At 54.0% G+C, this 15,385-nt stretch overlaps 1 protein-coding gene across 2 annotated transcripts in view, besides 1 other annotated feature; it reads right to left on the bottom strand.

The window, feature by feature from the left end:
- Positions 1-15,385, bottom strand: part of VSTM2L (V-set and transmembrane domain containing 2 like) — a 42,224-nt gene that overhangs the window by 9,763 nt on the left and 17,076 nt on the right. Inside the window, exons 2-3 of one of the 2 annotated variants that reach the window (NM_080607.3) lie at positions 3,784-3,953; positions 1,999-2,049 (exon numbers count right to left, since the gene is read on the bottom strand). In NM_080607.3, coding sequence (NP_542174.1) covers positions 1,999-2,049; positions 3,784-3,953 — 221 coding nt within the window. The remainder of the gene's footprint in view (positions 1-1,998; positions 2,050-3,783; positions 3,954-15,385) is intronic. The other variant, XM_011528530.2, reaches the window with a different exon arrangement.
- Positions 12,969-13,068: an enhancer, noted in NCBI's record as "active region_17852". NCBI's record gives its function as "activates an Ori minimal core promoter by ATAC-STARR-seq in GM12878 lymphoblastoid cells {active_cell/tissue: GM12878}" and the evidence as "EXISTENCE:reporter gene assay evidence [ECO:0000049][PMID:35858748]".

Raw genomic sequence — 15,385 nt, 5'->3', positions numbered from 1 at the left:
TGGGAAGAGAGAGAGGAACAGCTTTGCAGGCAGGCGGACCAGCCTGTGCAAAGGCCTGGAGGTGGGAAGGAATGGGAAGGTGGAAAGGCTGCCAGGGTCGGGAGGGGAAGGGGGGTGAGGTCAGGCAAGAGGTGAGGCTGGAGGGTGGGCAGAGCAATTGTGCAGAGTTCTGAAGGCCATGGAGAAAAGTTTGGGCCACCTCCTCAGACTGCAGGAATCCAGGGAGTACCTGTGTATTAGGAATGGTTTTTCTTGTGGCGCTGTCTGCACGAGGAGCTTGGCCCATGCCTGTCTGTGCATTTCCTAACCAGACCCTCGGAGCCCCAGCTGCTGCAGGAATTGCAGGGGCTGGGGGTGGGGGGCTGGGGGTAATTGCACATTCATGCTGAGCACATTTATTTTATTTAACTAATTAGCATTGTCGCATTTCCCTCATGTGGGACCCAGCAGCCTGGAATTCTAATCCTCTAAATCAATTAGATTATTCTCTCCTTTGCCAGAGCCGCTCCTTAAACCCCAGGCAAAATTATAGGAGAAAGGGTTGTGATGAACGGGGTATTAATATGCACACAGATCTACCTGCCTGGGCTTAACGGATGGGTATTTGGGCCAGAAACGGGGTGTTCGATATGGATGCGCCCTTGGCAGAGGGTCGGGGGTGGACCCACAGCCACCCTGAGCTGGATAAAAATGGCTTGAATTTTCAGACCCCAACTGTGCCCTGGGCCAGACAGCACAAATGATGCTTTGAAGATCCTTGCTCTCTTGCCCACCCCCTCCCGCCTGAAGGGGCTGCAGAAGCCTCCTCCCTGGCCTCTCTGCCTCCATGATGCCACCTCTGATGCCCGACATGGCACCCCAATGACTCCCTGTGCCCATTCTCCACATGGTGACCTCGGTTTGGGGGTGCAGCTCCTCTGCTCATCCCTGTCAAATTGGCCTTGGGGTCCTGAGCTCCCCTACAAGTCCTTGAAAAGTTGTGGAAGAATCAAGCAAAAAAGGGTGAATTTAGAAAGGTTTCCCCGCCATGCGCATGCGAGGACACACAAACACACAAGCATGCACGCACACACGCACATTCATACCCCCACGGGCACCTGCCTTTTCTGAGTGTGTTGCTGGTAGATGTCTAGCCTCCTGCCAGGCTTGCCTCACGCCCCTGCCAAGCTGACCTCACGCCCCATGCACAAACCTTGCCTCGTTGCATGGCCACATGTGTCCCTGGGCAGGTCCCCTCCACTCCATGTTCTCTCCCCAGTTCACCTCCTGTCTCCTGTCTGCCTCTCCCAGGACTGGCTTTGGGTGCCCCCTCCTTCACAAAAGCCGTCACTCCCTGAACTCCCCTGGGCCCCAGCTGCACTGGCCTGCAGCACAGCCTGGTGACAAAGAGCTTCAGCCCTGAAGCCAGGTAGCTCAGCAACACCAGTCACCCTTGGCGTGACCTCTGGCAAGTCCCTGACCTCCTGAGCCTCAGCTGCCCCACCTGCAAAATGGGTGAATGCTTGGCCCTTCTTACAGAGTGTGGCTATTGACAAATGAGTCAATAAATAAGAAGGCCTGGCCAGTCCTGAAATCCTTTGGCTAGGGTGCCCCCACCCCGTCCCCGGGGCCAGATCACCAAGTGACCCTGAGATGGCGTAACACTCAGTCAGTCATGATAGGCCAAAAAAAGCTGGCTCAGGCTCATCAGACCTCATTGGTTCCCCAAATAAAAAATGCTGCTGAGACAAGCACGAAGGCACCAGGATGCACACAGCCTTGGCCCTGACAGGAGAAAATGCATCTTCTCTCCCCTGTCATTTTTTGTGCCCATCATTGAATGAACTTGAAAAATCTCCGGCTTTTAAAAAACAGAGCAAGGCCATTTTTTTCCCTTCTCTTTTTCTTCTCTTCCATCTTCTTGCCCAAGCTCCCTGCTGAACTGGACCCCAATTTTTTTTTAAGTCACAGCTGTGCCCTCCATTAGAGCCCTTTCGAGAAGTCATTATCAAAACTCACACTTATTTTGGTTGCCTCCTTCCCTGCGTCTTCCTGCTGAGATGCTTTTAGCTGTTGGGATCGGGGAGGGGCGGAGAGAGCAGAGACAAGGTGTTAGCACAGGGTGGGGGTGGGGTGGCAGTGTGGGGAGACACATTATAGGGATACGGACAACCGCTAAGATTCTCACGACAGCAGATGAGGCTCGGGGGCCATGGAGTCTGGAGTTGGGGTCCCTTTCTGTATCCACTCAGGGGAGGAGGTGAGGTCAGAGCAAAAGAAGATAATGGAGGTATGTAGAAAACTGACCACATTTGTGCATTTAGATACACAAGGGTGCTTTGGTATATATTGGAGGGAGTGTGAACAGGCAGAAATCTAAGCATTGGCTTGGTATGTTGCTAGGAGCATGTTTGTACCCTTGAGTCACTCTGAGAGTGTGTTTGTACCTTCAGGTGTGTCACCCATGTGAACGTCTGTGCAGACGCTGTGGGAACCCTGCCCACATTCCCCACCTTTGCAAACTGACCCTGGAAGCTTCCAACCGCAGATACCTGCAACGATTTGCCTAAGGGCTTTCTCTGGCCACTGAAGTCCTCTAAGCCTGCATGTGGCAGGGCTGGAAGTGTCAGGGAGCTGACACCCCCAGGAGCAAGACAAAGTTTGATATGCCCTTGGGCACATGTGAGACACTCTTTCATGAACATGGGGAGTGTATGAGTGTGCCAATGCGTGTTTGTGAATGTGTGCAGATATATGTGTTCATATACGAATGGGTGGGCAGATCTCTATGTTTGCGTGTTCATTAGTGTATACATATGTGTAAGGATGCAAATGATTCAGATGGAGTTCCTCCAAGAGCTGACCTTGAGACAAAGGTCAAGTAGTTTATTTGGGAGGTGATCCCAGGAAACACAAGTAGGGGAGAAGGTGAGTGAAACGAAAAAGGGAAGAAAGTTAATAATGGGGGGTATGTTGTTGGTTAGTTACCACAGTAGGCAATTGGAGCTTCGTCCCACTGGGCACTTGGTGAAACAGTGAAGAATATGCTTCGGTTGTCCCAGCTAAGGGCGAGGGAGCTGAGGCATTCATCCTCCAACTTTGCGGGTCATTGGTGGGGGCTGCTCCTGCCTATTGAGTCCCCTGCTCCTCCTGCTTGCCTTGATGGCCAGCAGGCTCTTGTGTCCAGAGAAAACCCTCAAGCAGAGCCAGAGGAGCTGGCAGTTGGCTGGTCCCAGAGCACGCTGCACACCAGGCATGGGGCAGAGCCCCCACAGCATCTGCTCTACAGGTGTGTACATACGAGCATGCACGTGTAGAGGGGTGAGCACATGTGCAGCCAAGGGTGTGCTGGGAGCCTGGTGCACGTATGCGTGTGTGCCTGTGAGTGAACTCAGCATTTGCAGAGCTCTTTATAAAAAGGCTGCCCGTGTGGCCCGGAGAAGTGGTGGGAAGTGAGTCACAAGACCCACCTTGCTCCATAACCTGAAGCCAGCTTGTCCCTCTGGCCTCAGTTTCCTCACCTGTACCCCGAAGGGAGGCCCTCTGTGCCCTGGAAGGCCCTCCTTGCTGTGGCCATTTCACGTGCTCAGCCTAGCTCTGCCTCCTGCCCGTTCCCCCAAATAAGCCTCCATGATCACCTAAAACCCCCACCCCAGGAGGAAGAAGGGAGGGAGACAGCTGTGTGGTGTGGAGAACAGCGTTGGAGCCCATATCCCTCAGAGGAGAAGAGGGGCAGAGAAATACCCCTACCCCAGGGACCAGGACTTCCCCAGCCCAGCTTGGGCATCTCCCCAGGGGCATTACCTGGTTCGAGGCCCACGCCTGCTTGTCGGTCCAGTCCCGGTGGCTCCGTACATACCACCACTGGATCTCCAGCGAGTAGGAGGGGGAGCCGCTGCCGCGGAAGGAGCAGGCCATCTCCACGTCCTCGCCCGTCCGTGCTGTCATGTCATGGGGTGTCTCTGTGAACAGGGCTGTGCAAGAAACAGGGGGAAGAATGGCGGGGCTCAGGAAACCACGGGGCTAGTGGGTGAAGGAGGTGGAGAACGTAGGAACAGCTGGCCCTGCACGGCGGGGGATGGGTGGAGGGGGTGGGGTGACCTGCAAGCCCGCTGGTGGGAGTGGTCTGGCTTCAGCTGGGCACCCAAGAAGCTCAGCAAGGCAGGCCAAGGGTGTGTGCAGCAGCCAACATGAGATGGCGATGAGGGAGTAGGTGTCGGCCCTGGAGCCACACCAGCAGCCGGGCGCTGTGGGAGAACATGCCAGGGATCAGAGAAGGCCTGGGCTGGATGTGGACAGCAAGAAGGCCAGGGAGGAGCTGCCGCTTCCATCAGCTCTTCCAGGTTCTTCCAGTAACCCAGCTCAGTTCCCCTCCTGAGTTACTCCAGCATCCATGTACAGCGGCCAGCGCCATCTTTGCAAAACCAAATCAGATGTGGCCTCTCCCCTGCTTAGAACCCTCCCCTGGGACCCCAGGTATGGGGATCAGCACCCATTCCCCTGGCTTCCTCCCTGTCCTGTGGACACGCCTCCCTTTCTGGCCTCACTCTTGCTCTGGCTGTTCTCCTTCTGGAATGCCCTTCCCTCCACCCCTCTTTGCCCGGCTGGCTCCTTCAGATCTGGCAAAGATCAGCTCAAATGTCACCCCCCGAAAGGTCCTCCTTGAGGATCCCGAGAAGGTCCCCCACCTCCTGCCCTGCCCTGTTGCCTGCGGCAGCTCCAGGAGGACAGGGACACAGAGCTCCTGCCGCTGGCAGTTGCGGGCGCAGAGCAGCTGCTCGGCGGATGGAATGGGTACGGAATTCTCCACCATCTCAGGGCACCCAGGGTGAGGTGGGAGCCACTCCTGCCTCCTGCCCCATGCAGAGCCCAGCTCTCCACCACAGCCCAGGGCATACGGTTCCCCTGGCCCAGCAGGAGCCCTGCCCCATCCGTCATCCTCCATCCCACCAGGTAAATGAGAAAACATCCCCACTTCATGTGGCCCAGCGCCCCTCCCCACCATATGTTCTGTCTCCCGTCTCCCCAAACAAATATTGTCCTGAGATGTAATTAGAATTCTTTCCTCTTCTCAGGAGAGATTATCGCCCTGGAAAGACGCCTGGCAACGTGCAGGTCACCCAGGAACATTGTGGCTGTCAATCCCCTGGCCCCCACCCTGTCCCTCCTGGCTGCTGCAACCTAACAGGGTCCCCTGGCCCAGAGGGGCAGATTCCCAGCCCCGGGAGTCCTCACCACCCCAGCTCAGCTTAGGGAAGGAGGAAGAGGGAGTCCTGGGCTAGGAGGTGAAATCCTAGATTCAGGCCCCTGCTCTGGGGCCACCTCTCTCATCCCCCTGTCCCCAGGATACCGAAGGTGATGCGAATTGACAAACGACTCCATCTGGAAACTTCTGCCGTTTCTCCTCTGCTCATGGGGTTTCCATGTGCAGCCCTACTTGAACAGTGGGTTTCTGGGCTGAGAGCAAGTTTGAGATGTCCCTAATCCTCAAGGTCAAGGGTTTAGAAAGCAGCTCATGGAGGCTCCCCGCTTGCTGAGGCTTGGAAGTCCCAGCCGCTGTTCTGTAAACAAGGCCTGGTTAGTTAATAGGAATAAATGTCTGAGTTCCTGAACATTTGCGAGGGATGGTGTGGGGCGCCATCACACATAGCCCACTTCAAAGCTGTGACCCTTCTTATCCCCACTAAGTAAGAGGCAATGCAGGCACCTGGAAGGAAGATCCCTCCCCCACATCACCGTGAGGGCCACCCCCTCCTTCCAGGGGATCAACCCAGAAACTAGTCACCCTGGGCTCCCTCCCTCCACTCTCCCTTCCCACATTCAGTCTTCAAGGAACCCTGTGGGTCCTGCCTCCCGACACCTCCAGAATCTGGCCCCTTCTCCCCACCTCCACTGCCTTCCTGGGGCCAAGCTGCCATCCTCTCTCACCTGCAACAGTGGGGAACCCTCACTGGCCTCCCGCTTCCACTCTTCCTCCCCAACAAGCTATTTTCACACAGCAGCCAGACGTACCTTGACAAAACATAAATCATCCCTGTCCCTGCTCTACTCACCACTCTCCCAGGGCGTTCTCCTACCCACAGTAACAGCCACAGTCCTCACTGCCTCTGCTTCCCAAAGTGCTGGGATTATAGGTATGAGCCACCATGCCCAGCTAAAAGGATTGCTCGTGCCCAGGAGGTCAAGGCTGCAGCAAGCCTTGAACGCACCACTGCACTCCAGATGGCTGACAGGGCCTTCCATGGGAGGCCATTCCCTCCAGTGTTGGCCTCTGCCTGACTCCCTGCTCCTACTCCTGCCACAGTGGCCTCCTTTCAGCTCCTTCCCCAGGCATCCCAGTTGAGATTCCACCTCAAGACCTTTGCACCTGCTGATTCCTCTGCCTGGAACACCCTTTCCTCAGACTCCCCTGGAACTGCCTTCCCTCACATGGCTCCCTCCCTCTCCTGCCACAGGACCCTGCTCAAAGTCCGCTTCCTTAGGGAGGCCTGCCCTGACCACCTCATTTAAACCCGGCACTTCAAACCACCCTTCCCTCCAACGCCATCATCAGCACTGGCCAACAGGACTTTCTGCCATGAGGAGGGTGTCCTGTAACTGAGCTAGTACAGTAGCTAGCAGTCACCTGTGTCTGCTGAGCACTTGAAATGTGACTGAGGACCTGAATTTTAAATTTTATTTAATTTTAATTCATGTAAACATAAATGTTAATAGCCACTTGCAGGTAATGGCTATTGTATTGGACAGCACAGCTAATATGCCTATTTTATGTATGTTTATTGTCAGCCTTCCCTCCCAGCTCCTGCAGCAGTACCTGGCACATAGCAGGTGCTCAATAAATACATTTTATTTTTGAGACAGGGTCTCGCTCTGTTGTCTAGGCTGGAGTGCAGTGGTGCATTCAAGGCTTGCGGCAGCCTTGACCTCCGGGGCACAAGCAATCCTCTCACCTCAGCCCCCCGAGTAGCTGGAACTACAGGCACGAGCCACCATGCCCAACTAGTTTTTCAAATTTTTTGTAGAGACACGGTCTTGCTTTTTGCCCAGGCTGGACTTGAACTCCTGGGCTTAAGCAATCTCCCCGCCTTGGCCTCCCAAAGTGCTGAGATTACAGGTAAGGTATAAGCCACCACGCCCAGCCAATAAGTGCTTTTTGAATGATGAATAAACACCTTGGCTGGGCAGTGGTGGAGCAGGGTCCAGAGCTAGGGGGACCCTGCCTGAGAGTCCTGGGCAGGTCTCGCCCTTGGAGTCTTCCCTGACACCCACTTGCCACCTTGAGCGGAACACAAGGAGATAGTGAGGAGCCTGCACGGGAAGAGCCGAAGAGGTGATTCTAGTGGGTTGCTTGTCCCTCCCCCAGGATGGCGGATTCTGCCTTGATTCACATCCCTCCTGCCCAGCAGCAGGGCACCAGGGCACCAGGGGCATTTGCAAACATGAGGAGAGGGGTGAGGACCCTGGTTGGATCTGGTATGACCACCAGTGTGACCCTGGCTGGTCAAAAGACAGTGGAGGGACACGGCTGTGGCCTCTCCAGGTGCCATTGCCTGAGCCACGGAAATCAGAGAGTGCCTCCACTTCCCCTCTTCCAGTGGGGAAATGGCTGCAGAACTATCAGGGAACTTGCTCAATGCAGAACACAGAGCAAGAAAGGCTGAAGCCAGCCCTCGGACCCAGCCAGTGTGACTCAGCCACTGCATGCCTCCTTCTCCCAGACACGGGTGAGGTGGGAACCATGTGTGGTGGGCGGGGGCACGGGAGACAATGTGTGTGCGTCTCATGAGTGGGAGGAGAACAGAGAGGGCCGCCCTTGGGTGGAGGCTCCGCTGGGGTCTCCTCGGAAAGGGCCAGGCCTCCAATTCATCCCCACTCAGTCTCCTCCTGCCCACGGCCCCCCCGCCCCTGCCAACCGACAGAAAACCCTGACTCTGGCCCACCAGCTCTTCCTACTCATGCAGAAGGCAAGGCTCAGAGAGGGCAGGGGCTAGTATAGGGTAACTCAGCAGCCCGGGTTCAGCCAGGAGAGACCCTCTTATCCCCAGACACCTTCTGGGCCCTGGCATGGCATGGCAGCCTGGGGTGGGCAGGAGCACAGGGGAGGACCCCGCCACACGGCCACTTCTCCACCGGGACACCAGAAGTGGCCATCTAGGGCCTCGCTGTCCAACAGAAACAGAATGCAAGCCACACTGCAAGGCGCGCATGGAATATTCCATCTCCTGGGAGCCACATGAAAGGAAAGTAAAAAAAAACACGTGAAATTAATTAATTTTAATAATGTATTTTATTTAAGCCAAGATATCAAAAAATTATTTGAACATGTAATGAAAATTATTAATGAGGCCGGGCACGGTGGCTCATGCCTGTAATCCCAGCATTTTGGGGGACCGAGGCAGGCAGATCACCTAAGGTCAGGAGTTCAAGACCAGCCTGGCCAACATGGCAAAACCTCATCTCTACTAAAAATACAAAAATTAGCTGGGTGTGGTGGCATGTGCCTGTAGTCCCAGCTACTTGGGAGGCTAAGGCAGGAGAGCCACTTGAACCCGGGAGGAGGAGGCGCAGTGAGCCGAGATTGTGTCACTGCACTCCAGCCTGGGCAACAGCAAGACTCCGTCTTGGAAAAAAGAAATTACTAATGAGACATGTTCCACTCTTTTTTGTGTTAAGTCATGGAAAACTGGAGTGCATTTTACATGTTCATGGCACCTTTCAGTCCTGCCATTCCCAGGGCTCAGTGGCCACATGTGTTTGACATCTTAGCAGGTGGTGAGTGAGCTCTGCCAGCTTCAGGTCCCCCCATCACATGTCCGCATGGCTCAGACCAGGCAGCCAAGGCCCAGTGCCAGGGAGTAACCCTTCCACGGCCACATAGTAGAGTCTGGATTTGAAACCAGCCCTCTGTGACGCCCAAGTCCATGCTCTTCCCAGAGTGTCCAAATGCCTTGTGCTGGTAGAGCTATAGGTTAGTGCAAAAGTAATTGCAGGTTTGCCATGAAAAGTAATGGTCAAAACCGCAATTACTTTTGCGCCAACCTAAATATTTCTCTTTTTTCTTTCTTTTTTTAGATGGAGTCTTGCTCTTTCGCCAGGCTAGAGTGCTGGCATGATCTCGGCTCACTGCAACCTCTGCCTCCCGGGTTCAAGCCTCAGCCTCCCAAGTAGCTGGGATTACAGTGCTGGGATTACAGGTGTGAGCCACCGCGCCTGGCCCTAAATATTTCTTAAAAAGGCTCAGTCCCGCGGCAGGGCACAGTGACAGATGTCTGCAATCCCAGCACTTTGGGAGGCAGAGGCAGGAGGATCACTTGAGGTCAGGAGTTCAAGACCAGCCTGACCAACATGGTGAAACCTCGTCTCTACCAAAAATACAAAAATTAGCCAGGTGTGGTGGCAGGTACCTGTAATCTCAGCTACTTGTTAGGCTGAGGCAGGAGAATTGCTTGAATCTGGGAGGCGGAGGTTGCAGTGAGCTGAGATTGCGCCACTGCACTCCAGCCTGGGCAACAAGAGCGAAACTCCATCTCAAAAAACAAACAAAAAAAGGGCTCAATCTCAAATGGCCAACCTTGCAGAGTCCTGTGGGGCAGGGTAGGGAGTCTGTTTCATTCTGAGTGCAAAGGCCTGGGCAGGCACAGCAGAGGCATTTCACCCAGCTGGAGGCAATCGGGAAAGGCTTCCTGGAGGAGGTGTTGCCCTCGCCTTAGCCCCAGTAGGCTAGGTAGTAGAGCCGGGAGCAGGGAGGGGCTTCAGGTAGGAGGACAGGGAGAGAAGCAGGTTCAAGGCCTCATGGGAGCCAAGCGAGTTAGCTGTGGGTGTGGCCACCAGCTCTCCCACTCCATAGAGGGGCTGTGGTCCCAGGGCTTCTCTGATCCCCAGAGCTGGCCAGGAGCTGCCTACGGGCGGTGGGTTAGGGGAGGCACCCTCAGGGACCTTTTGACTCTGACCTCGGTAGTGAAGGAGGCAGTGTGTCCACAGGACAAGTGGGAAACTCAAGGCTCTGGGCATCTGACGACAAATCTGGGCCTCCCTGTTCACAGTCAGCAGCACCAAGGCCTGTCCCGACCTCCACCCCAAGCTGCCCCGGAGGGAGAAGCCCGCTGTGGACGTAGGTAAGTGCCGGGAGCATTGGACTGGGAGCCAAGGATGGAGGACGGAGCCTGTTTCTGCCGACAGACTTGCTGTGTGACTTCCAGAGACTCTCTCCCCTCTCTGAGCCTCTGCTCCTCTGTACAGTTCGGGTTAGTCCTGATGGTCCTGAGAGCCCCACCAGCTCAGATCATCAGAAGGAGAAAGTGATAGATGTCCTAAGGGCAGAGCCTTGGGCATTGGGAAGGGAAAGGGTCACTTCCACATGGGAGAGGAGGGGCCTTGAAGGATGGGTGGATATTGACAAGCAGAGGCAGGCCTGAAAATGTCAGGAAGCAGGAACCCTGTGAGCAAAGGTAGGGAGGCAGGAAAGAAAGCTTCGTTTAAAAAAAAAATCCATTTCCTTTCCTGAGCATCTATTGTGTGCCCAACACCATGCAGACATTGTCTCTAACACTCTCACCCACTCCCACTTGACAGATGAGGAAATTGAGGCTCGGAAAGTAAAATGACTTGCCCAAGATTCACACAGAGATGGATTTTAAACATTGGTCTGACTGGCAGTTGTGACCAAGATCCACGGGTCTGCCAGCCCCTACCAGGATTTGGTCTGAGTTATCAGGTAAAATTCAGCTGCTAGGCTCCACACTTCCGCATCCCACTTGCACACCTCCAGAGATGGGGAGCTCAGTTCCTCTCACCCCCACTGAAAGCAGGCAGCTCAATCAGCAACAGGGTCTTCCTCCCTCTCCTAACTCTGAGTGAGGATACTGCACCAGCACCAGAAACTGGAAAATACACAGATTGATGTGTATTTTGATGCTGCTGCTGCTGCTGCTGATTATGATGATGTACTGATAATCTCTAAGAAATAAAGACTATTTGTTTTGTGCCAGGCACCGTGCCTAGCTCTTTGTTTTGTTTATTTATTTATTATTTTGTTTTGTTTTTTTTTTTTTTTTGAGACAGAGTCTCACTCTTGTTACCCAGGCTGGAGTGCAGTGGTGCCATCTCGGCTCACTGCAACCTCTGCTTCCCAGGTTCAAGCGATTCTCCTGCCTCAGCCTCTCGAGTAGCTTGGGATTACAGGCACACGTCACCACGCCCAGCTAATTATTGTATTTTTAGTAGAGATGGAGTTTCACCATGTTGGCCAGGCTGGTCTCAAACTCCTGACCTCAGGTGATCCGCCCACCTCGGCCTCCCAAAGTGCTGGGATTTCAGGCATGAGCCATCGCGCCTGGCCATGTTTATTTATTTTTTGAGACAGGGTCTCACTCTGTCATCCAGGCTGGAGTGCAGTGGCACGAACATGGCAGTGAGCTGAACATAGCTCATCGCAGCCATGGACTCCTGGGCTCAAGTGATCCTCCTGCTTCTGCCTCCCAAGTAGCTGGGAGTACAGGTGCATGCCACTACAACAAGCTAATTTTTAAAATTTTTGTAGAGACAGGGTCTCGCTATCTTGCCCAGGCTTGTTTCAAACTCCTGGGCTCAAGCAATCCTTCTGCCTCAGCCTCCCAAAGCACTGGGATTACAGGCGTGAGCCACCACACCCAGGTGCAAGCTCTTTACATACATTTTCTCGTGTTCCCACCATGATGCTATGGAGTGGGTGTGATCATTATTATCCCCCTTTTCAGATAGGGAGGCTGAAGCTCAGAGAGGGTCAGTGACTTGCCCAAGGCCACAGACTGAGTAAATGGTGAAACTGAACCCAGTTCTAGAGGGCTCTAAGTGGAAGCCTGTAACCCGGCCCCCTACCCATACTCTTTCCCTCCAGCTACCCAGACCCTAATCCCCATGTGAGCATCACTGCTGAGTCTGGGACATAGAATCCATCTCTCCTCTTTGACTTACCCGGCCCCTGAGCCCCCCTCCCTGCTCAGGTAACTCCTTGCAGCCAGTCCCCAGGGAGGCTGGTATAGTTACAGATTTTTGAGAAGGATGCAATTGTCTTCTCCAGCCTCAGGGCCTGAGCTGGGCTGGGCTCGCTGGGAAGACAATTAAAACTGGTGTCCACAAATTAGGATTCTGCAGGAGAAGGAGAATGGGACTTGATTGAATGCAACATCTTCTTTCTTTCTGCTTTTAATTGGGGGTGCGATGTATTAATTAACCCCAGGCCTGATTATCGGTGCATCAGCTGCAGGAAATGGCTCTGTGGCTCTGGCCGGAGCCACTGGGTTTGGCTTCTGGGAAAGGCAGGAGATGACCTGGAGGACCTGGCCTGCCGTTTGAGACCAGGGACCTGACCTCCCTAACCTCCCAGACCCTGGTTCAGCATGAACCTCTTAGAGTTTTGCCTTCAGGCCTGGGTTCAAACTCTATTTCCCCTACTCCCTAGCTGTGTGACCTGGGCAAACCACTTTGCTTCTCAGAGCCTCGGTTCCTTTATCTGGAAAAAGGGGAGAATGAGAGGGCTGATGAGAGGATGACACAAGACAACATGTGCCTCACGCCTCACGGCACATAGTAGGTGCTCAATAAACAGCACTCCTTTCTCTCACCTCCTAGCTCAAACACCCTATCATCTCCAGAAAGATGGCTAAAGTTGCTTCCTTGTCGCCTCATCAGATTATGCATTGGGCGCATCTGTATTTTACTCACGCGTGGGCCCTGCAGCCCCTCACCCACCGGTCCTCTAGCTCTTCTCTGTGCTCATTTCCTCTGGTGCTCCCATGGCTCCTGGGAGCCAGTGGGACTCAGGCAAGCCACAGGGGCTCATCCAGCACAGGCAGCCCCCAGCTCCCTCCATCTCTGAGCCCAGATTCCCCATCCCAGACCCCCTGGTCCAGCCCTGAATCTCCTGTCTCCCTCTGCACAGCCCTCCCTGCCCTTCCAACCTTCAAATCTCTGGTGGGAGGCTGCCTCCTCCAGGATGCCTGCAGAGATTGGTCCTCAGCATACCCATCAGAGTGAAAGCAGGACTCCCCTTGGGGACTGGTGGCAGGGGCAGCTCTATTCAGGAAAACCAAGGCAGAGCTGAGGCTAGAGGGAGGCACAGTGAGAACCAACGTGGCCCCACTGAACCCTTGGTCACCCCTCAGCCCGGCCCCACCTCTCACTAGATCACACTGTGATGCTCCCTACTCAGAAACCTCCAGTGATGAATGGAGTAACAAAATCTAGTCCATCTGTGCAATGGAGTAGTATTCAGCCTTAAAAAGGAGGGAAATTCTGACACACGCCGCAAATAGATGAACCTTGAGGACATTATGCTGAATGAAACAGGCCAGTCACAGAAAGACAAATATGGTGTGATTCAAACTCACAGAGACAGAAAGCAGAATGGGGGTTGCCAGGGGCTGGGGGCAGGGGAAGGGAGTTGCTATTGAACAGGCACAGTTTCTGTTTCAGATGATGAACAATTTCTGGACTGGATGGTGGTGATGGCTGCACAGCAGCCTGAATGTTCTTGATGCGGCTGAACCATATACTTACAAATGGGGAAAATGGGAAACTTTCTGTTATGTATATTTTACCAGAATTTTATTAAAGCCTCTACTGGCTTCCCTGGGCTCACTGCAGCAGTGGATTTACAATAAAAATCTCCTAGAGTGGGAAGATCGCTGGGGCCCAGGAGTTCAAGGCTGCAGTGGGCTATGATCACGCCACTGCACTCCAGCCTGGGTGACAGAGCAAGACTCCATCTCAAAAAAAAAAAAAAAAAAAAAAGGAAAAGAAAGAAAGAAAGAGAGAAAGAAAACAAAAATCCCCTGAACTTGTTCCCAGAATATCCCTCCCCGCATCTTCAACTCCTTCAAACCTCGGCTCCAATGTCACCTCCTCAGTGAGGCCCTCCCTTCTCCCCCACCCTCTCTCAGTTCCCTTTTCTCTACCTCATATTTCTCCTTACCACTCATCACTCCCCTATTACATGTTTGCTCATTTTATTTCTGTGTATCATCTGTACTCCAACTAGAATTGAAGATGGAGATTCTAGTTAAAGGCAGGAGATTCTAGTCTGTTCACTGCCATGTCCCGGCAGCTAGAGCAACACCATGCACATAGTAGATGCTCAGGGAACACTCTGCTCTAGCAGCTCTGGTGGCAGGCAGGGGAAGGATCCCATTTTCCCTACTCCGGGCTGCCTGGGGCCTTCAGGAAGCTCCCGTACTTGGGCCTCATTGGGAAACTACCAGCCCTCAGGGTCAAAATCAGGCTCCCAGGCTCGGCATCCAAAGTCTGCAGGCTCTGGTTCTGCCCAGACCCCAACTGCAGCCCCTCCTGGCCACTTACATGTGTCCCCCTAAGGACACAGCCTGCACACTGTCCCTGGAATCCTGACTCACAGGTAGTCCTCTGCCTAAAGGTACTCTCCCTCCTCAGGCTAGGGTGGAAGCCCTGCTTGGTGCCCCCAGAGGTCTCCGAGGCTGCCTCTCCCTGCCCTGGAGTGTGTTACATGACAGATGCTGAGTGTGTTATATGACATCTGGAGTGTGTTATATGACAGATGTTATATGACAGGTGTCTGGGTCTCCTGCAAGCTGGGAACTCTCCCAGGTCAGGGACCCTGCATTGCCCAGCCCAGATCAGGCACACAGGAGGTGGCTAGGCATGTACTAAACACATGAGTGAATGAATGAATGAATGAATCAATCAATCAATCAATCAATCAAGGGAGAAAGGAAGGTCAGACAAAAGCCCAGAGGATTGAAGTTCTAAGGAAAAAACCAATAGGCATAGAAATCATTCATTCATTCATCCAGTTCATTCATTCACTCAACATTTATTGGATGCCTACTATGTGCCAGATTGGAGTTTCCTGGGGGGACTGTGCCCACAGGAGCAGGGATAGGGACAGACATGTGGACACTATGGACATGCATAAGCAGGGAGGTCCTAAGTGAGGCTTGGCAGGCCGGCCTCCTCCCCACTGTCCCTCTCCTCCTGGCCCTTGTGGCCACTGGCTGCCCAAGGCCAGCCTGGCCCACCTGGCCCAGCTGAGGGGCCACCCAGCCAGACTGACAGGCAGGCTGGAGGCTCCCCCTGAGATGGCCCATAAAGTCATCTTGTGAAACGCAACCAAGAATGAAACAGGGCAATAAATAAAGGCTGACAGTGCCAGGAGTGGGTGGCTGCTTCGCCAGTAGCTCCCCAACCCTTGTTGGCTACGGGCCAGCCCAGCAGCCCCGTGGCATCATCTTTCTGATTGGAGCCCACGATGCAACAGGAAGGTGATGTGCCTGATCCCATATGATGCTCACAGTGATCCTGCTGGGCAGGGATCATTGTCCCTTTATTCCAGGCAGGGAAACTGAGGCTCAGGGACATGTGTCACAAGGTCACACTGCAAGTCAGGAGCAGGAGC

The sequence above is a fragment of the Homo sapiens genome, chromosome 20 (assembly GCF_000001405.40).
Source record: "Homo sapiens chromosome 20, GRCh38.p14 Primary Assembly".
Taxonomy (NCBI): domain Eukaryota; kingdom Metazoa; phylum Chordata; class Mammalia; order Primates; family Hominidae; genus Homo; species Homo sapiens.
This window is presented reverse-complemented; position numbering and strand designations above follow the sequence as displayed.